This window comes from Homo sapiens, chromosome 12 (genome assembly GCF_000001405.40).
Source record: "Homo sapiens chromosome 12, GRCh38.p14 Primary Assembly".
In the NCBI taxonomy this organism is placed as follows: Eukaryota; Metazoa; Chordata; class Mammalia; order Primates; family Hominidae; genus Homo; species Homo sapiens.
In genome coordinates this window covers 69616194-69639275 of record NC_000012.12, presented here as the reverse complement: position 1 = coordinate 69639275, position 23082 = coordinate 69616194, and the positions used below count along the sequence as shown (strand labels likewise).

Here is a 23082-nt window from a genome sequence, read left to right as displayed (position 1 = left end):
CCCCACACGCCTTAGAGCGCCTTGTCCAGATGGCATTGCCAGCCCCGCCAGTCCCAGGCACCAGGGAGGGACTTGAATATGAGAAACTTTAGAGGAAGATGCTTCAAAGCACAGAGGGGCTTTTGAGTAGAAACAGCCTTTCTTATGGGCGGGGGGTTCTGCATCCCTGAGTCCAAGATAATACACAAGCACACACACTTTAATTATTTCTTTAAGCTCTTGTTAATGTTTAAAATCTCCCCTTCTAAATGGATTGCTTACCAAAGACAGAATCCAAGAAATTGGCAGCTGAGGGTCTTATCAGGAGGGGGATATGGGCCTGGCACGGTGGCTCACGTCTGTAATCCCAGCACTTTGGGAGGCCGAGGCAGGTGGATCACCTGAGGTCAGGAGTTCGAGACCAGCCTGACCAACATGGAGAATCTCTTCAAATCAGTGGGGAATGTGGAATGGAGAGCCTCTTCATCTGCAAGACATCAAGGAATAGACCTCAGAGGCTGCTGATACCCACTGGCTCCCGGTTGGTTGGAGTAAATGCATTCACAGTAGGTCTTCATGTCACTGACCTTCTGTTCTTAGAACCTTGAGGTGAGAAGGAAATTTTTGTGTCACCTGGTTCAGTGCCTTGTTGTGTGGTAGAATTCTCTCTACAATCATCCTGCCAAGATTCATCCAGCTGGAATCCCTTTAGTGAAAGACAATTCACCCTTCCTGAGACAACACACTGCATGCTGGGACATTACACTCTTTAGAGGCCTTCTCCATGTTGAGTGAAAAGCTGTCCCCTGACAGCCAGATCCCACTGGTTCTGATTCTGCCTGTGGGTCCACACCTAAGTAGTCCATCCTCCTGCCTGCTCAGGACCTGCCTCAAACATCTGAAGAGTATGATGCTTCTATACATGCCCTCAACACACACACACACACACGCGTGCACACACACACACCGTTTCTTGAGACCAAACCTTGCCAAACCAAGAATCAAATTGTTCTTTACATCTGATGATCTTGAGTCCTTCCACTGTCCTGATCTGTCTCTGCTGGCGGTGTCATAAATGGTCCTACTCAAATGTGCACCCAGAAGCAAGCACAGTACTCCCCATATTTGATGGGTGGGAGGTGGAATTTTTTTTTTAACCAGTGCAAAGTAGAGCAGCAAAATCAGCCTCCTTGTTAGGAACACTCAGCTTCTAACCATGTGGCCCACGATGCTGTACCTCCCAGAACCTAGACCACTGTCTGGCACTGGGTAGACACTCAAGAAGTATTTGTTTAATATACATGAATGATATTTTGAAAGTGTAAGTTCATTTTTGTTTTACCTTTTTGTAGTAGCAGTTAGTGATTGTTGTTGCCAATAGTCAGGAGGAACTTTGGGATTTCATATCTGACGTGACTCTGCAGGCTGGGCTATTGGCTACCTGTAGCAAAGTCTACTAATTGTCTCCCAGTATCCATTCTATGGATCACAAGTGACTACATTTGGGCAATAGAATGTGAGCAAAGCATGACAGGTGCAATTTGCAGATCATCTCCTGGAAGGAGAAGCTGTGGCGCTCCCTTTCTGCATTCCTGCTGTCTGAGAGATGGGTGACTGGAGCGATCTTGGAAGCCACGTGTTGAGGATGACAGGAGCCACCCCCTGACCCTGGACCTGTTTCATGACTTGTGTGACACTGGATTTGGGGGTCCCTTTGTTATAGCATTTCAGCTGGTATCCTAACTAATACAACAACATATCCTAGAATTTTATCTCAGGACCTCTTCATAGTATCAGCCCTCTCTCCCATATTACCGTTTAGTAATATTCCAGATCCCGTTACTGCCAGTACCATAATCACAAGGTCTCTGAGCAACAATGACAATTCCAAGGACTAACCTTAGGCTTACTGTTGTCAATCAACATTCGACACTCTTGACCGGGTGTAGTGGCTCACACCTGTAATCCCAGCACTTTGGGAGGCCAAGGTGGGCAGATCATTTGAGGTCAACTAGCCAACATGGTGAAACCCCATCTCTACTGAAAATACAAGAGGTAGCTAGGCCTGGTGGTGCACGCCTGTAATCCCAGCTACTCAGGAGGCTGAGGGACAAGAATCTCTTGAACCTGGGAGGTGGAGGTTGTAGTGAGCCAAGATCACACCACTGTACTCCAGCCTACACTTTAAAAACTCCAAGGCAAAAATATCTGGACAATAGTTGAAAAAATGAAATTTAATTAAAATATTGAAAGTGTTATTATAAGAAGAAATCATCAAATAAAGACAGAGATGCCAACTTATTTTCTCCTCAAGGTCACTACCAGCGACAGCTTTGCCTTTGATCCTGTTGTTTTCTTTGACCTATTTATGGTGCACCTACTAGTCTCACAGCAACCATGCAGTGTCAGTCATTATTTACAGATGAAAGTCTGAGGGGGCCGGGCGCGGTGGCTCACGCCTGTAATCCCAGCACTTTGGGAGGCCAAGGCAAGCGGATCACAAGGTCAAGAGATCGAGACCATCCTGGCTAACATGGTGAAACCCCGTCTGTATTAAAAATACAAAAAATTAGCCGTGTGTGGTGGCGTGCACCTTTAGTCCCAGCTACTCAGGAGGCTGAGGCAGGAGAATGGCGTGAACCCAGAAGGTGGAGCTTGCAGTGAGCCAAGATTGCACCACTGCACTCCAGCCTGGGTGATAGAGCGAGACTGTCTCAAAAAAAAAAAAAAAAAAAAAAGGTCTGAGGTTCAGGAAGGTTCACATTGCCTTCTCAAAGCCACATAGCTATCAGGCAGCAGAACCAGCATTCAAGCCTGTCAGTCTCCAGGCAGCAAGTTTCTGTTACTACCCCAGCAAGTAAGACTTTGCCAGTAACAAATAGAACAGGGAGAGAACAGGAGTGTGCTTTTCATCTTTGAGCTGAGTCTCCTCACTGAGGCTCTGGACTTGCCTCTTCACTGCTTCACTGGGTGTTGGCAGGCACCAAGACAGAAGCTGCTGGATTTGTAGAGAAGCCAGCAGTGAGGGAAGTATCTGAATCTGCAGTGGCTTGACAACCATCAAGACAAAATTCAATTTGCCCTCGAATATTCACACTCAGGGAAAACATGCACGCGCACATACACACATCAAAAGAAAGTTTGCCAAAGATTCGGGGCGGCAAGCCAGACGTAAACTGTGATCAAAATCACAGAGAGGGCGGTGACAGCCTCCACCCTGAAGGCCAGGAGCATACGACTATCATGGATGACAGAGACATCAGAGAAGGTACCAGGAGTGCCACAGAGTTCCCAAGAGGGAGCCCAGAGCTGCTGATGGCAACAGACACAGCCCCGCCTGTCCCCACATCCCTTTACCTTGCTTCTGCATCCTCGAGTATGCTCTAGAAGTACTCTCTGGGCAATTGGGCAATCTATATTAAAGGACATATCACAGCAAATTGCAGACAGAGTGAACTTTCAAAGCCTCAGGCCTCATTGTTTCATTCATAATTTTTAAAAATCTTAAAATCTTTCAAAAGACTAAAAGCGAAGCCCAAATTCCTCAATATGGCATACAAGGCACCCCAGCTCTGGCCCCTGGTCCCCTCCTCAGCCTCACCTCTCACCACTCCCCTCCTCCTGCCCCAGCCATTCCCCAGCCTCGCTTTGTACTCGCCTTTTCCAGCCTATCTGCCTGTATTTCAGTTCTACCAATGGCCTCGTATCTCTTCCAACCAAAACGTTTGTTTTTCTCCTGAATGAAACCACCATGCCCAAAAATGGCCTCCATTTGGTTGACTTCTACACATCCTTAAGAGGGCGGCTCTGATGTCACTTTATCTAGAAAGCTTTCCCATGCTTTCCAGGCCAGGGCAGGCTACAGAATTCCATATCCTCTGTCTCCCCTATCACAGCACCTATGCCCTATTGGACTGAAGTTCTGTGATGGCACCAAATAGGATGGGACATTTCATTCCGTGTCTAACACACAGTAGGACCTTAATAAATATTTGTTGAATTTGCCTTTTGGAGACCATGAGCTCTGTGAGGCTACAGAGGCTGCAGGCCCAGGACCTGGTGTGATACCTTTCATATGCTAACCATTCATGACTGTTCTTAAATGAAAGCTTTTCCCCTTGTCCCTCCTGCTACCCCGAACCTTTGGCAAACTTTCTTTTGATGTGTGTGTATGTGCGCATGTGTGTTTCCCCTGAGTGTGAAAATTCTAGGGCAAATTGAATTTTGTCTTGATGGTTGCCAAGGCCCAGACATCACATGTTTCAATGTTACTGGCTCCCACTGAACCAAAGGCAGGGTTTAGTTGAAACTAACTCTACTACCATTTGGCTTCCCAAGGAAAAAACTGCTCCAGGCCAGGCACAGTGGCTCACACCTGTAATCCCAGCACTTTGGGAGGCCAAGGCAGGAGGATCACCTGAGGTCAGGAGTCCAAGACCAGCCTGGCCAGCATGGTGAAACCCCCATCTCTACTGAAAATACAAAAATTAGCCAGGCATAGTGGCTTGTGCTTGTAGTCCCAGCTACTCAGGAGGCTGAGGCAGGAGAATTGCTTGAACCCAGGAGGTGGAGGTTGCAGTGAGCCGAGATCATGCCAGTGCACTCCAGCCTGGGCAACAGAGTGAGACTCCATCTCAAAAAAAAAAAAAAAAAGAAGAAAAAAAGAAAAAAACGCTCCACAGAACAATAGGGCCATTTTATCATGTGCTAATGTGGATCTTATTTTACTCCTAAGACGTCCTCCCAGGTCAACCAAATTAAACTTCCAAAGATACTCTCCCTCTTTTATTCCATAGAGTCCTTAAGCATCATGGCAACTCCCAACAACCTAGGACAAAATTCATTGTCAGCTGATAGTTGTGACTAATGCTAGTAAGGAGATATACGAGGCATTTCCTAGACACATCTGAAAGACATGGTGCTGAAAAGTCAATAGGTAAATAAAGCAAAAGAGCCCAGGAGAAACTTAGATGTATTTCCATCATTGTGGCTTTGTTCACATTTATTGCCAGTAATCTGTCTGTAACGTCTTTCTGTGAGCTGGACCCAGTGAATTGATCCCGAGTACAAGGGATGGTCAATACCTCACAGAAGCAACTCATCACCATGGCCTTTGTCATGGCTGAGAAATGAAAAAATAGACATCAGGAAGCCAAATTGCTTGCAACAATGAAAAAAAAGCAAAGCAAAAGGAAAAACTCACACCTTCTCAAAACCGTCCATCCGAGCTAGGGCTGATTGTGTTTTGTGTCACAAGACCAAGGATTCCAAATCAGACTGTCAGTGATTGTGCCTCTGATCCAGAGGGCCTTTCACAGCCAGGTACAAATCACCATGAATGACATGCTCCTGGTAACTGCCAACTCTGGAGAAGCAGCAGGATGAGGGAGAAAGAGCATGGGATGCAGAATAACAGGACCTGGGGTTTTGTCCCATGGTGCCACTTATTGTGTGACCTTGGACAAGCCATTTCAATCCCTCCAGGCCTCAGCATTTCTTATATCAAGCATATAGAACACTTAGATAAAGCATATAGAACACTTTTAGAAAAGCAAAGCATAAGTAGTCGGTACTATGTGATGGCTAATTTTATGTGTCGACTTGGCTGGGCCATAATGCCCAGATATTTGGTCAAATATTATTCTAATATTTGTTTTCTTACAATTCTGGATTGTAGGAAAGGTAAGGAATTAAAAAGAGGAAAACAATGACATCTGGAGAAAGAAAGATATTATTTTCCACTGAGACAGCAATCCTAAGCAGTGGTTCCAGATAGAATTTACTCTGCACCAACAGTGAGGACATTGGGTAAATAAACATAAAGGTGAATATTAGATGAAAAAAGATCTAGGCAAATTAACATCATCTTGCACACTGAATTGATTACAGATGTTAGCATTGACTGAGAAACTTAAAGTATGTCCAATCTATTTCCTTCCCATCACGGATGAGGACTCGAAGGCTCAAGGCTGGAAAGTGGCTGGTCTAAGGTCACACTGTGTGTTCTTAGGAGAGTTAGAAAGAACAATTTCTTCAGAATATGCAACACTGCCTCCTAGAGTTTAGTCCTCCAACTAGCACTGCAATTCAAGGAGGTTATAACACTGTTCTATAATACCACTCCAGTATCTTAGTCAATTGGGCTGCCATAACAAAGTACCATAGACTGGGTGGCTTATACACAACAGAAATTTATTTCTCACAGTTCTGGAGGCTGGAAAGCCCAAAATCAAGGTACTGAAAAATTTGACATCTGGTGAGGGCCTGCTTCCCGGCTTGTAGACATCTAGCTGTATCCTCACATGGTCTCCTGTCTTGTAGTCTTTTAATGAGGACATCATGAAGGCCCCACCCTCCTGACCTAATCTAACCCTAATTATCTCCAAAGACCTCACCTCCAAATACCATCACACTGGGGATCAGGGCTTTAACATAGGGCTTTCAAGGGAGCACAAATACTCAATCCATACCAACTATCAATTACAAAATAAGTAAAATTCTTTCTAAAATACAAATCTTAGCCAGGTGCGGTGGCTCATGCCTATAATCCCAGCACTTTGGGAGGCCAAGGCAGGTGATCACGAGGTCAGGAGTTCGAGACCAGCCTGGCCAAAATGGTGAAACCCCGTCTCTACTAAAAATATAAAAATTAGCCAGGCGTGGTGGTGCGCATCTGTAATCCCAGCTACTCAGCAGGCTGAGGCAGGAGAATTGTTTGAACCCGGGAGGCAGAGGTTGCAATGCGCTGAGATTGTGCCATTGTACTCCAGCCTGGGTAACAAGAGCAAGACTCTGTCTCAGAAAAACAAGAAAGAAAGAGAGAGAGAGAGAGAGAGAGACCAGGAGTGGTGGCTCACGCCTGTAATCCCAGCACTTTGGGAGGCCGAGGCGGGTAGATCACAAGGTCAGGAGATCGAGACCATCCTGGCCAACACAGTGAAACCCCATCTCTACTAAAAATACAAAAAATTAGCCGGGTGTGATGGCGGGCGCCTGTAGTCCCAGCTACTCAGGAGGCTGAGGCAGGAGAATGGCGTGAACCCTGGAGGCAGAGCTTGCAGTGAACCGAGATGGCGCCACTGCACTCCAGCCTGGGCGACAGAGCGAGACTCCATCAAAAAAAGAAAAAGGAAAGAAAGAAAGAAAGAAAGAAAGAAAGAAAGAAAGAAAGAAAGAAAGAAAGAAAGAAAGAAGGAAGGAAGGAAGGAAGGAAGGAAGGAAGGAAGGAAGGAAGGAAGGAAGGAAGGAAGGAAGGGGAAGAAAGAAAGTAGGAAGGAAGGAAGGGGGAGGGGGAGGGAAGGAAGGAGGAAGGAAGGAAGGAAATCTTTTTCATTCTAAGTACCTTGGTTTGTGGCTCCATTAAATCTAAGAGATGTATAATTTTGTAGCCCTGGGACACGTACTTAGCTTCAGTGCTTTGGTTTTTTTGTTTTAAACTTCATTTTCAGTGACATCTCAGGCTTGATGCCATTTCTTATTAGGATGCCTTAGCCCAGAAATCCTCCCACGCCATGAACCTGTGATTCTGATACCTAGATTTTATTTCATCCAGCAGATATGTAGTGAGCACATGTGATGTGGTGAGCATTGGTCTGAATGCTGGAGATACACAGGGAACCAAAGAAACAAAGTCTCCTCACTGATGGAGCTTACACTGGAGGGTGGGGGACAATAAACACATCACTCAATAAAGTCTATAGCTTGGTAGATGGTGATAGTGCTCTGGAGAAAAACTAAGCAGGCTGGGTGAAAGTGAGCAAAGAATTTTTGTAAAAGTAGCTGAGGAGGACCTCATGAAGAATGGGATGTTTGAGCAATCATATAAAAGATGGGATAGGAAGTCACGCGGTATATGAGAAAGAGTGTTCTAGATAAAGGAGATAGTGCTCTAGGTCAGAGCAGAGGCTCTGAGTCAGGGGAACCATTTTCCAGTCATCAGATCCATTTGTGAAAGGAAAATAAATCTTAGAGCCCCAAAATCACTAAGCCAAAGGGAGAAGTCAAGCTGGAAACTGCTTAGGGCAAACCTGCCTCCCATTCTATTCAAAGTCATCCCTCTGCTCACTGAGGTAAATGCATATCTGATTGGAGAGGCTAATCAAAAACTCAAAAGAGGCCAAGCTCCATGGCTCACACCTGTAATCCTAACACTTTGGGAGACCTAGGTGGGATAGGAAGTGGATCCCCCCACTGACAGTGCTGGGTACATCAGATGACTTGAGGTCAGGAGTTCGAGACCAGCCTGGCCAAGGTGGTGAAACCCTGTCTCTACTGAAAATACAAAAATTAGCTGGGCATGGTAGCAGGCGCCTCTAGTCCCAGCTACTTGGGAGGCTGAGGCAGGAGAATCACTTGAACCCGGGAGGCAAAAGTTGCAGTGCTGAGATGGCGCCACTGCACCCCAGTGTGGGTGACAGAGTGAGACCCTGACTCAATTAAAGCAAACAAACAAAAAAACTCAAAAGAATGCAACTTTTTGTCCCTTATCTATCTATGGCCTGGAAGCCCCCTCCCCACTTTGAGTTGCCCCGCCTCTGCTTCCAATGGTCCGGCCTTTCCGGACTGAATCAATGTTCATCTTACATATATTGATTGATGTCTCATGTCTCCCTAAAGTGTGTGTGCAAAACCAAGCTGTGCTCGGACCACCTTGGACACACGTCGTCAGGACCTCCTGAGGCTGTGTCACTGGCATGTGTCTTTAACTTTGGCAAAATAAACTTCCTAAACTGACTGAGACCTGTCTCAGATAATCCGGGTTCACACATTCATTTGATATTAAAAGCCTACGTTTCTCCTGTTCATGAGAAAGAAAACTTGGTTTCTTCACCGATTCCTGATCCTTCACCTTGTGAAGATGGGATAGGAAGTGGATCCCCCTGCTGACAGTGCTGGGTACATCAGATCAAACACCATCCAGTTGTGCCAGGACAAAGGTCATCCAGCTCAAAGATGATTCTCTCAACCCTTATTCCATCATGCTAGTATTGCCAAGCTGTTTGTAACAAAGGTGAGAAAACAGCCCAGGAAGGAAGAAGCCCACGCACTGCAGTAGGGCTATCGGGGAAGTTTCAGAGTTCACCTCGGGTGGAGGTTTTGGCATCTAAACTGCAACAACTGGGCATGACAATCCTATCAGGCATCATACTCAACTCCGCCTGGATCCCCGAACCGGGCCCCACATACCTGTACACAAATCATCTGCTCCTGCCTCCCTTTCACATTTGGCAACCAGTATGTCCCACATGCTGTTCCAGGAGCAAGACATGCAATGATGCACATGACTGACAACACCCTTCTTTTGTGGCATTTATCCCCATTTGGGGGAAACAGCCAAAACCTGGTAAATGAGTGAACAAGATAATTTCACAGTGTAATGAGGGGTATAAGGAAAATCAACAGAGCAATGTGGTAGTCACCATTAGGGACAGAGGGGTGTCTTACTCAGATGTGATGGGGGCTTTGGAAGGCCAGGGAAGGCCTTCTGAGGAGCTGCCATTTGACCTGATAGTTGAGTATAAAAAGGGTTAGCCATCGGAAGGGTATACCAGATGGAAGGAGCAGTGAGGCCCTGCTGTGGGCAAGCGCTCCGTGCGTCTGACAAATAGATGTGAGTGCGTTTGAATCAAAGCCTTGGGGAGGTGGATGGAAGTGAGATCACACAGGCCTTGGCGTTCAGAGTAGGGAGTTCGGGTTTTATTCCAGGGGCAGTACGAAGCCATTGGAGTTCTTATGCCAGTTTCTATGACCTGATTTACCTTGTTTGTGCAGCACTCTGATTGCTGTGTGAAGAATGGTTTGGAAAGGTGTTAGTGGCTTGGACTGGACTATGGCTCTGGAGGTAGGGAGTGGGGGAGCAGGGGTGAGGAGATTATTCAGGATATATATCAGAGCCATTTGATGAACTGGATATGGTTGAAGAAAGGAGGAATTGAAGGTGACTCCTAAATTTTCCCTCAAGCAAGTAGGTAGTTTGTGGTGCTATTCTGTGAGATGGAAAGGAGAGGAAGACTTGTAGGTTGAGGGCGTGCTAATAAAAAAAGAATAGAGTATTATTTGGGGTATATTAAACCCCATCCAAGTAGAGATGTCGAATAGACAACTGTATATAAAACAAGTCTTAGAGGAAAGGTGAGGGCTAGATAGAGATAGTGGAGCTATCAACCAAAAGAAAGAAGTCATGTTACTGGATGAACTTGGCTAGGAACTTAACCTTGGCTAGGTCCAGAATTCCACCCCCTTTCCATGCAGAGACAGCAGGCTTTCTGACCTGCCCCATCTCTCCTCCCCCTGTCCCCAGGAGATTCCTGGTGCTGTACTGAAGGAAGAATGCCTGCCCTCCTTGCTCACAGGGAGGTTTGATTTGAGTGGCAGGTGCATTCCTGGGAGTGACAAGGTCAGCTTCTACTATCGCTACAGAAAGTTCACCACTTCCAACTCTAAGGCTGATTTCTCTCTCAGCTCATGGCTAGAAACTCACAGATCAGCCAACTAGGAAGTGGCATTTCTGCTTCCTCTTCACATGCCACAGGCACACAATATTGGAACTGTGATGTCTAGTGGAATGGTGAACTCCCAAGTCCAGGAGTGTCCTGATGGTCTAACACTAATGATGAAGGTGATGGTGATGCTGCTAATCACTAACACAGACCATTTACCATGTGCTAGACTTGCAATAAAAATTTTACCCAGATTGTCCCATTTAATGCTCAGACTAATCCTATAAAGTTATACTGTTCTTCTACTGTTTCCCCCATTTTACAAAGAAGGAAATTTATAGAAAAGATTGGTCTCTTCCTGGTTATCTAATCTCCTTCTAACTCCTTGAGATGGACATAAGCTGTCCAAGAGGAAAAGGGAAAAATTTTAAATATATGTTTTGCATTGTAAAGTAAATGTGTCACGTGTTTTGGAAAAAATGGAAAGAAAAAGAAATCACCGGTTATCATTTGAACATGCTTCCTTCCAATCTTTTTCTTTCTCCTTTCATCTTTTTTTCATAACTGTAATCAAGGTATAACCTAAATTAATATATATATATAAGGTATAATATAAATTCTCTATTGAATTTTTTTTTTTTTTGAGACAGATTATCACTCTGTCACCCAGGCTGGAGTGCAGTGGCATGATCACAGCTTACTGCAAACCCTGCCTCCTGGGCTTAAGTGATCCTCCCACCCCAGCCTCTGGAGTAGCTGAGACCTCAGGTGTGCACCACCATGCCTAGCTAATTTTTTTATTTTTTGGTAGAGATGGGGTTTTGCCATGTTGCCCAAGCTGTCCATTGAATAATATTTTTAAAGATCTTTTTTCAAGCACTTTCTATTCTTAAATGTGATTTCCACAGTTTTGAGTCAAGGTGTATTTGTCCATTCTCTCATTCCTATAAAGAAATACCTGAGACTCGGTACTTTATAAGAAAAGAGGTTTAATTGGCTCACGATTCTGCAAGCTGTACAGGAAGCACAGTGGCTTCTCCTTCTGGGGAGGCCTCAAGAAACTTACGATCATGGTGGAAGGCAAAGGGGGAGCAGGCATATCTTTACATGGCAGGGGCAGGAGTGGGGGCGGGGAGGCGCCACACACTTTAAAACAAACAGATCTAGATAGAACTCACTCACTATCATGAGAATAGCACCAAGGGGGCAATCTGCCCCCATGATACAATCGCTTCCACCAGACCCCACCCCCAGCATCGGCGATTACAATTCCATGTGAGATATGGGCAGGGACACAGATCCAAACCATATCACAAGGCAATAGGTATTGCTTGGACATCCAGGACAGTCTGTGCCAGACTTCCATGGCAGGAGCTCTGTCTCATCCCAGCCTGGCCTAGCGCTCCTCCCACAGAGCCAGGAGACTGAGTGTGGACGTGAAACCTCAGGACAGGTCACGGGGTCCATCTGAATGCACTATATTCAGGGCAGGTGTCCCAGAGGGAACAAGAGGGGCCTTGTGGCTGCCTCACTTCCAAACAGAAAGTGACCCAGGCTCCAAGCCTGGTAAGCCCCAGGGCATGAGCCCCAGGGCAGACATCCATGGGGCTTGGGATCCTTTTGTTCTGGATGCCAGAGGAACATGGCTATGTAGCAGATCTCTCCACAATTTTTTTTTTCCTTTTTCTGCAGTTTCCTAAAAAGTGGCCCCCTTACTCATTCGTCAGAAGCTTCTGAGTCTTCTTCTTGCAGTACCAAGACATTCCCCACTGGGCATAGTCCCTGTGAGGCTGTGGCTTCCAGGTCAGGCTCCCAAGTCTGCCACTTACTCACTCTGGGCCTGGGCACTACTTAACCTCTCTGACCTGCTTCCTTATCTGAAAATGAGGCTAATAATCATTCATACCTCACAGAGTGGCTAGGAGGGTTAAACGGGCATTTTCCTGGGTACCGAGCATGTAGTGGGGGTTCAACAAATGGTGGCTGTTGTTCTAGAAACTTTCTCCATATAGACAGCTCATGAAGGAAGCCATGGAGCGTTGTCTGTGCAGTGGGTAGCTGGGCGTGGAAACAGCACATCCTTCATCTGGAATGTGCAGACCCCTGCATCCTCTCAGCACTATTCAGGCACCAGGCGGAGAGGGAGACTGCCTGAAGACCCTCCTGCTCCCCCCGCCGCTCTCCCCTCTTCCCTGTCCTATTTCCCAAGGACACAGGAAGAACTTTACCAGGGGTAAGACCAAATTATGTAAACGCTCAGACCGGAGCAACAGGAGGACAGCCATGGTGCTGACAAGGGGTCCTGGGAGCCTCCTGCTCCAGGTGTCACCCTCCTATTTCTTCATCTGACAGTGGAGACAATTTGTGTGTCTACCTTGTCACCTAGTGGTGTTGTTCAAATGAGATTATATCCCTCAGCATGGTGATGGCATGTTATTATTAGAAATAACTTCGTGGGCCAGGCGTTGTGGCTCATTCCAGTAATCCCAGCACTTTGGGAGGCTGAGGTGGGTGGATCACCTGAGGTCAGGAGTTTGAGACCAGCCTGGCCAACATGGCGAAACCCCATCTCTACTGAAAATACAAAAATTAGCCGAGCCTGATGGCGCATGCCTGTAGTCTCAGCTACTCCAGGGACTGAGGCAGGAGAATCGCTGGAACCTGGGAGGCGGAGGTTGCAGTGAGCCGAGATCATGCCACTGCACTCCAGCCTGGGCAATGGAGCGAGACTCCATCTCAAAAAAAAAGAAAGAAAGAAAGAAGGAAAGAGCTTCGTGGAATCCATCCCGCAGCCTAAACACTGTTTTGCGCTCAAGAATCTCAGCTGTTTCTTAGGACAGAAATCCAACCTAATCCAAACATCATAGCTAATGTTTATTGAGTCTACATGCAGGCGCCAGCCCTATTCCTCATGCCTTCCATGAATCTCTTTATTTAACCCTCACATCAACCCAGTCATGGAGGTCCTACTGTTTTGTGCTTCACAAACTAAGAAGCCAAGGCAGAGAGGTTTAATGACTTGCCTCAAGTCATCAAAAGCTAAGAAGTAGCAAAAACAGGCTCCAAAAACCCCAAACACTGACAACATCAAGCGCGCTGGAGGACATGGAGCAACCGTGGCTTTTATTTATTGCTGGTGGGAAACCAAAATGGTGCAGCTACTTTGGAAGACAGCCTGGCAGTTTCTTACAAAACTAAACCTACTCTTACCCTATGATCCAGCAATCACGCTTCTTGTTATTCATCCAGATGAATTGCAAATTTATGTCCGCACAAAAACCTGCACAGATGTTCATAGCAGCTTTATTCATAATTGCCAAAACTTAGAAGCAACCAAGATATCCTTCAGTGGGTGAATGAACAAATCACTGTGGTATATTCGGACAATGGAATCTCATTTAGTTCTAGAAAGAAATGAGTTATCAAGCCATGAAAACACATAAAGATAACTTATATGCATTTTACTAAGTGAAAGAAGCTGATCCGAAAAGGCTACATACTGTATGATTCCAATTGTATGATATTGTGGAAAAGGCAAAACTATGGAGACAGTAAAAAGATCAGTGGTTTCCGGGGGGAGGGATGGATGAATAGGCAGAGCACAGAGGATTTTTAGGGCAGTGAAAATACTCCGTATGATACCACAACGAGGGAAACATATTATACATTTGTCAAAAGCCATAGAATCTACAACACCAAGAGTGAACCCTAATGTAAACTATGGACTTTGAGTGATAACGACATGTCAATATGGGTTCATCAGCTGTAAGAAATATTATCTGGAGGGGAATAGCAGGGGAGGAGACAAGGGGTATATAGGAACTCTCTGCACTTTCTGCTCAATTTGCTGTGAACCTAAAACTACTCTAAAAGAATTAAGTTTGAGGCCGGGTGTGGTGGCTCATACCTGTAATCCCAGCAGTTTTAGGAGTCCAAGGTGAGACGGTTCTTGAGGCCAGGAGTTCAAGACTAGGCTGGACAATGTAGTGAGACCCTCACCTCTACAAAAGAAAAAAAATAGAATTATGTTTGTTAATTTAAAACAAACAAAAGAGAACAGGCTTCAAACCCAGGAAGTCTGGCTCTGAAGCATACCCATTAACCACTATGCTATACTACCCTCAACTTGCAATGGAAGGAAAAATCCAACTTTTTTTTAGAAGTTATACACACACACACACACACACACACACACACACACACGTAAAGGAAACTGCTGGGTTTTAGAATACAGTGACAGAGGCCGAGCACGATGGCTCACACCTGTAATCCCAGCACTTTGGGAGGCCAAGGTGGGTGAATCACAAGGTCAAGAGATCAAGACCATCCTGGCCTACATGGTGAAACCCTGTCTCTACTAAAAATACAAAAATTAGCGGGGCATGATGGTGCATACCTGTAATCCCAGCTACTCGGGAGGCTGAGGCAGGAGGGTAGTGGAGGTTGCAGTGATCCGAGATCGAGCCACTGCACTCCAGCTTGGGCAACAAGAGCGAAACTCCGTCTTAAAAAAAAGAATACAGTGACAGAACAGGTCGCCAGCCCTCCCTGATCCATTCCATCCAGGCAAGGCTTGGAGGCTGATTAGGCCGACTCTGGCCTCACGCGCAGTGTTTGATAACAAGCACCTGACGCGTGGCGTGATGCCAGCCTCCCCAGGGCGCTTTGGTCTGGAAACAGCTGTGAGTAATCTGGAGCACCCAGAGCAGAAAGCTTTATCAGTCAGCCTGCCCCAAAAGCTGCTGCGAAAACTATCTGCTGGTGCAGTCATGCCTCCAACTGCCCTATTTTTAGTGAAACGCACTTTCCAGGGCTGTGCTTCTGATGAAGGAGCAAGCCGACTTGGTCTTAAGACATACATAGTCAGTGACAACCAAGCCACTTCCACTCGTCTGCCTGATTTAGGGTTTTCTGCAGGTTTATGAACCACCTTTCAAGGCATGTAACTAGGTTTATTGAATGCTAGTTGATTCCCCGCTTGGTGGGAACCCAGTGGAATAATACTTTATGCCCTGGAAAAGGGGACATGAGACATGGTGAGGTACTGCTCAAACAATAGCATCTTGCCAACATTTCAAAGAACGCCATTCAAGGTCAATAAAAAGCTGTCTTTGCTTTGTAAGGAAGTAAATATCTACATTACAGACCATAGGACTACTTTATGTGTTACGTGTTATATATTATGGTAGGAGGAAGAGTTGAAGGAGGGGACAGTGAACCAGGAGGGTATACAGTCGGCCCAGCCAGCTTTAGGTCTTCCTGACAGCAAACCAGGGGGCCAGACAGGACCCAGGAAGTGAGGAATCAGTACCAGAGCTTGCTCAGGCTTAACTCACTTGAGCATTTATCAGTACACCCTGGAATAGTCACAGCCCAATACCTGATTATAACATGAATAAGAAAAGGATAATCATACAAACCAGTTTTCAAGCACCTTCCATGTGCAAAATATTTAAACACATTATCATTTTTTAACCTCAGGAAAACCTTATGCAGTGGGTGTTCTTATTCCAGTTTTGCAGAATTGAGGCTCAGAGAAGGTAAACAATTTTTCCTTGTCAGTGGCAGAGCTGATAGTACGACTCAAATTTTTCTGACTACAAAGCCCATGCTTCCTCCTTCCATTTGTCATGCTGGCCCCTCTGAGCATCTTGGCCATTACACAAAAGGGTGGCTGGGCCAAGGTCTTTGCCTGGCCAGACACCGTGGCTCAAGTCTGTAATCCCAGCACTTTGGAAGGCTGAGGCAGGTGGATCACTTGAGCCCAGGAGTTCAAAACCTGCCATGGGCAACATGGCAAAACCCTGTCTCTACAAAGAATACAAAAATTGCCTGGACATGGTGGTGCATGCCTGTAGTCCCAGCTACTCAGGAGGCTGAGGCAGGAGGGTTGCTTGAGCCTGGAAAGCTAAGACTGCAGTATGCTGAGATCACACCACTGCACTCCAGCCTGGGCGATAGAGTGAAACCCTGTCTAAAAAAACAAAAAGAAAGGTCTTTGCCAATTTTAGTTTTGTGGCCCAGCATTTAACTAAAATTAAAACAATGTTTTTCTCAAGCATGATCCCACCTCACTTGCCCCACCGTTAACCTACATTTGCAGCAGAGCGATACACATGTTCAGTGACATCAGAGTCACCCAGTGGGAAGTCCGTGCTGCCAAGCCTGTTATGATCCTTTGGGGTGATCTGGTCTGACTCTCTTGTTTCCAGATGATGGGAGGAGATCATGAGAAGTTAAACTACTTGCTCAAGGTTACGCAGCAATTTAAAAAATTCAAATGCAGATCTTCAGAGCGCAAGTCCAGGACCCTCCCCGCAATACCACTCCCAGTCCCATCAGTAGGACTCCAACAGGGCAGGATTCAGCAAAGCTCCACACTGAACCCTACTGTCTGAAAGTCACCTGAGACAGACCATATTGAACCAATGCCACTTCTCCCTCCACATGCAAATAGGAAAAACTCTCCAACAAAAGAAAAGCACAGCTCACCCTGAGCCCCTTGGGGAGTCCAGGTTGGTTTGTGGCGTTTCAGAGCCAGATGTCCACAGATCTCCAGTCAACTCACAGAATCCACTCACATAATTATGTAAGTGCTCTTATATCATCTGGGCACATAAATACACTTTCAGAGGAAACAGTCTCAGATAGCTAGCTCAAAGAGAAACGTCCAGCTGGTGGTCTGTCCTGAACTCCTCCAGGGTCCCTGCTTCTCAGACATGATGCCTGCTGGACATGAGTTGGATCAAAGAAATCCTAAAAGGAGAGAAAAAGATGAGTAAGCTCACGGTGTCAGTCCCCTGCCCAGTTTCAAATCATCTCATTCGAGTCAGCCCCGCTGTGTGGGGGCGATGAGAGGTGACAACCAAGGAGAGACAACGTCAAGGCCTTATGTTATGCCAAGGTCCCCTTACCTCCCCATGCCCGTGACAATCAGAAAGCATGACAGAGCCACCAAGATCAGCTTCTCTGCTCTTGTTCAGCAGCCTCTCTCTACTCCTCAGGCTTCTTGGTAGCTCATTGGTTCCCAAAGTTGTGAGGTTGCTCGATTCCAGGAGGTTCTAAGTTGGCAGGAGTTTTATGGATATGGCTGGAGCTGACCAAAGATTTGGGCAAATATTGACATTCTTTGAAGATGTGAGATGACACCAGACAAGGACTATGTTGGCAACAGAGAAAGTTGGGAGGGGTGGCAGGAGGAAACTGACATGTATTCCATTTCAGCTGTATTTCAGGTACTGTCATTTAATCCTTACCATGATTTTATTTTATTTTTTAAGACAGAGTCTTGCTCTGTTGCCCAAGCTGCTGTGCAACGGCATAATCTTGGCTCACTGCAACCTCCACCCGCCGGGTTCAAGCGATTTTCCTGCCTCAGCCTCCCAAGTAGCTAGGGATTACAGGCGTGCACCACCATGCCCTGCTAATTTTTTGTATTTTTAGTAGAGACGGGGGTTTCACCATGCTGGGCAGGCTGGTTTTGAACTCCTGACCTCAAGTGATCCACCCACCTCGGTCTCCTAAAGTGCTAGGATTACAGGCATGAGCCACTGCGCCCGGCCCCTTACCATGATTATTATTATTATCATCTCCATTTACTTATCTCTGTTTAACTTAGTTATCATTACTATCTCCATTTGACAAATGTAGAAAGACTTTCAAAGAGGTTAAGCAATGTCTCCAAGGCCATACAGTTGGGAAATGGTAGAAATGAAATTCTATCCCAAATCCAACTGACTGCCAACCCACACACATCATACATTCCAGTGCCAGGCACTGTGGGTTTCCTTCCTCACCTCTCTTTTCTTGCATGCTGGAAGAACCCTGGTTGTACTGAGGCAGCAATATGCACAGCCCCAGGTGGCCCCAGATGGCATCTACCATCCTCTGAAACCACCTCTAGCTACTGGCCCTGTTGCTTGAACTGCAGCTCAGAATCTGTTTCCACACAGAAACCATCTTACACACAGCAGTCAGTAAGACTGCAGTCACCCTACCATCACCATACTGTTGTTCTATGAATTAAACCAACTTTTATAGACTGATGTAAAATACCATAATTTATAGCATTATTTCTACTGGAAAATGCATTGCAAGATCCACCAGCCCCCACCTCCAACTCCATCAAAAAACAAACAAAAACAAAACAAAAAGCCTTATAGGAGACTTCATGCATCTTTTATAAGGCTTATAGTTGACTCAGATTTCATGAGTCCCAACCCAAAGCTGCCTGCACATTATCAGCTCTTTACTTGTCAAGCAGATCTGGAAATATCAAAGCTGCCAAATGAAATTCTTGGAAGTATGGTTGTATTTGATCCCACCCCACTTTATTAAATTGAAAGAAAACCTTCCCTGAGACTGAAGACAAAATTTATTCCAGTCAGGAAGATAAAATACTAGTTGTTGTATTTATTTTATGATGACGGGGATGCACTTCCCTGGAAGACAGCTGGCTGGCATTATGGCCCAGGGGTTCTCAACCTCAGCACTACTGACATTTTGGTCCAGATAAGCTTTGTTGCCGGCAGCTGTCCTATGTAATGCAGGATGTTTACCAGCATCCTAGGCCCTACTCACTAGATGCCAGAAGCACCCTCTCAGTGTGACAACCAAAAATGTCTTCAGACATTGCCAACTGTCCCCTGGCAGAGGCTGATACATTTGGAGGACGTACTTAGAAGCCTGCATTAAGCCCAACGGAATCATGGAAACTCTCTGATGAAGAAATGCTGATCTGTGGGGTTTTGTTGCTTTTGCTTTTTGTTTTTGTCCAAAGGCCACTCTGAGACTGATGTGCGTTCTGATGGCAAATCCTACCTTTACCTTTGTGAAGTAGGGAGCAGATGATCACCAAAATGGACCAAAGCATCCTCTGGCTGTAATCCTGGGCCAGGCCTCTCTCCAGGCCATCAGGAAGCCCAGCTTCAGAGAGCACATCCCCTCATTGCCGGTTCCTGGGGACTATAAAGCAGAACTCTACCAAGGCCCATTCTCCTGACCTTGGTTCCTTTCGCACACTTACAGGCTATAAAATGCCGCCCCTGGCTGGGTGCAGTAGCTCATGCCTATAATCCCAGCACTTTGGGAGGCTGAGGCGGGTGGATCACTTGAGGTCAGGAGTTCGAGGCCAGCCTGGCCAACATGGCAAAACCCCTTCTCCACTAAAAATACAAAAAAATTAGCCGGGCGTGGTGGAGCAGACCTGTAATCCCAGCTACTCAGGAGGCTGAGGCACAAGAATGGTTTGAACCCAAGAGGCAGAAGTTGCAGTGAGCCAAGATTATGCCATTACACTCCAGCCTAGGGATAGAGTGAGACTTTGTCTCAAAAAAAAAAAAAAAAAAAAAAAAAGGCCACCCTTCCCACCCTTCCCTCCCACTTGGGCTCAACTTTGCCCCAGCTCCTCACCCTGTGAGTTGATGATGGAATTCCTTCAGGATTCAAGTTTCATTTCACGGCGATTATTGAAGCTCACTTTTCTCAGAATAATTGTCTTAGCACAGCAGTTGCTGTTGAACAGTTTCCAGTAGTTCAGCATTGAAAGAGAATCTAATTAACTTACAGAATATCTTGGGGCACTTGTCTGGAATCCTGCTCCGACTGCGTCCATAGAGCAGGCTCAGCACATTTTCATAGTGGTAGGCTAAAGTCTCAGGGGAAGTCTTTAGCTTCCTCCCTCGCATTGTTTTCTGTAAAGTCAAAGATTGGAGCTTATCTTATAGTTAACAACCAAATGTGAATTCGTTTCTGGGTTCTTCCAACCCTGTATATATCTTATTAACTCTTCTGATAAATTTTACAAGTTCTTCTCAGAACCACTCTCCTTTATCTCAATGATAATCAAGAGTAGAAAAATGTTATTTATTCATAAATATATATTGTCAAGTCACTGGATGCCAGCGATTTGAGTTTACATTAGTAAGCTAAGAGTAATGCATCTTTTGTTCATTCATTCATTCATTCAGATGCTCTGGGAGGGCAGGAAATTGTGTCCATTGTGCACCCCTTATTTATTGAATAGATGAATGCCCATATTGTTTGAAGTGCTGTTGTTAGTGCTAAAAATGCAACAGTGAACAGGATTGGCACAATCCCTGGCCTCAGGGAGTTTACAGTCCAGCAGGGAAGCAAGAGAACTAAGAAATAAAACCATCACAAATTGTGATAAGTGCTAACATGGAGAGAAACTGGGAGTAGAGGCAGCCTAGCTTAAATAGCATGGTCAGGAAGACCCTCCTTGACAGCTGTGGGATGATGGGAGTGAACTACAGGCTAGTTGTGGTGAGTATCTGTGATTTTTTTTTTGACTGACAGCTCTCCACGTTTGGGGAGCTTCTCACCTTATAAATCTTGGTGGTGGAAAATGACAACTCCGCATTATAGAAGCCGAAAGCTGAACCCCAGCCTCCCTTGTGGCTCAGCTGCGGCATGTGATCAATGAGTCTTCCCCGTTGGCCCCGATTCAACTCTTAGTGATACAAAAAAGCAGGACTTAGGCAAAATCCCTTCTGAAGAGGGAGGTAGCCATGGTGGGGGCTACACCAGGTTCGGAGGCAGCAGCCAGCACCAGTGGGCTCGGAAGTACAAGCAGTGGGGGGCTGGGCCCAGAGGCAGTGACAATGATACCATCACAAGACCAGTTCTGCACTGCAATTTAGGACTTTGGTCCCAGCTATAGCATCCAAGCCCAGTTCCACAGCACAGGCAAGGAGGTCTGTGAGCTTCCTAACATAATAAATTCCTTTTCATCCAAATCATTCAAAGACAGTTTCTATTGCGCTGAAATTAAGAACTGTAACACTAGAACTGCACCTTGAAGTATTTGAAGACCCAACATTAATTAGCTTGAAGCCAAGGTTTGGGCAAACACCTCCATGGAGCAGTTGAATTCAAATCCAACAGGTGCAAATGGTCAGACCCAAGCTTGGTGGGACAAGGTTGCTTCTGGACTGCTCTTCTGGAAGGCCCAGGATTCTGCCTGTGGGGCTCTTCTCTGTGTCCAGCATCAGCGTCACCATGATTTTAAACCAAGGAGAAGCCAGCTGCACCTCAAAGCTGACTAACTGGAAAACAGAACAGTTCACTTTATGGTTTTTACTTTCAACACTTTTTCTTCTATCTTTTGCAATACGGTTTGTAAAAATTCAAGCCCTATTTTTCCTCTGTTCTCCCAACACCACCACAACAATCATCAACAAAGAAGACTTCTGTGACCCCAAAATATGTGTGGAGATTTCTCCCCACCAGCCAGCAAGGGAGCAGCGTTGCAGTGGAAATCAGCTGGGTGTCCTCCAATTCCATTCCAACTCTGCCTTCCTGGTGAGAGTATCAGATCCCACAGGTTGAGGGCTCAGTCCCCAAAAGCGCCACCCCGCCTTCAGACACGAGTCACAAGTTCCAGCCTCCAGAACTTCTGATTGATCAGCTTCAAGTTAAGGTTCCCACAACCGCCCTCTAGGTTCAATTAATTTGCTGGAGCAGCTCACCGAACTCAGGGAAACACTTGCAGTTACCGGTTTATTATAAAGGATATCACAAAGGGTAGAGATGAAGAGATGCATAGGGCACAGCATGGGGGAAGGGGTGTGGAGCTTCCACGTCCTCCCTGGGCACAGCCCTTCAGGAACCTCCACGCGCTTAGCTAGCTGGAAGCTCCCTGGACCCTCTCCTCTTGGGCCTTTTATGGAGACTTCACTGATTGACAATCTTCATGATTGACAATCTTCATGATTGACAATCTTCATGATTGACAATCATTTAGAAATGAGATTTGACAAAAAGGATATGATCTAAACCCAGCAAGGCCCATCTGTTCAGATTCTTCTTGGACTCTGTGCAGCCTTCTTTCCTCCAGGGAATGAAGCAAAACCCTTTCTGGAATGAGGGTCTTATGACCCACAAGCAGATTCGAGTCCTGAGCTTCTGTTTCCTTAGACCTGCTCTTGGCACCTAAAGTGCCTCAACATTACAACAAAGGACTGTGACAGGGGCTATGGGAGTTATGAGCCAGGAACCATGGGCGAAAACTTATATATATAGTTACGATATCACTAATATGCATTGTTTTTTCTTTGGGATGTAGGTGTGTACGCACGAGTGTGTTTTCCTTTTGGTATAGGCTGTTTTCAGTTTTTCTGAGGGTCACCTTGATCATTTTATTCCCGACGATGCGGGTTTCATATGGGGGCTGAACCCAGTAGGGAATAATCCACCATCAGCCTTGTCCCTCCTCCTCCTTCCTCACACACATTCTATGAAACCCCTACCCACACCCCGACCCCTGGATCACATCTTGGGTAGGTTGTACAGCTTTCTCGACACTTTCGGGTATTAAAATTTTCAGTCAAATGTATGTCAAAACTTTAAAGTCTCATCCAAACTTTTAGCATCTCATTCAATTTAAAACTTCCTTCCTTCTCCCAGGTGAGGCCTGGCCTGTGGCTTAGGGATCAACAACGAGAAAGAGCTGGGGTTGGGGAGAGGGTCTCCGGGCTGAGTAGCGGGGGTGAAGGGGAGGGGGATACAGAGCCTGCTGTTTTCCTTCTTTGCTCCACGTCTTCTCCCCTGGCCCCTGCTCCTAGACCCTCCAGGCTTGGGCACAGAAGGAGGACGAGACTGTTTCGCTCAGTGGTTCTGTTTTCAGTTCCCCTTAGGCAGATAC

At 46.1% G+C, this 23082-nt stretch overlaps 1 long non-coding RNA gene across 2 annotated transcripts in view; it reads right to left on the bottom strand.

Moving 5' to 3' along the window:
• LOC105369823 (uncharacterized) overlaps positions 1–14693 on the bottom strand; it is a 64494-nt gene extending 49801 nt beyond the window's left edge. For both annotated transcript variants that reach the window (XR_007063357.1, XR_007063358.1), the window contains exons 1-3: positions 14682–14693; positions 14326–14419; positions 262–466 (exon numbers count right to left, since the gene is read on the bottom strand). This is a non-coding gene — a long non-coding RNA (uncharacterized LOC105369823). The remainder of the gene's footprint in view (positions 1–261; positions 467–14325; positions 14420–14681) is intronic.
• Between the last annotated feature and the right edge of the window lie 8389 nt (positions 14694–23082).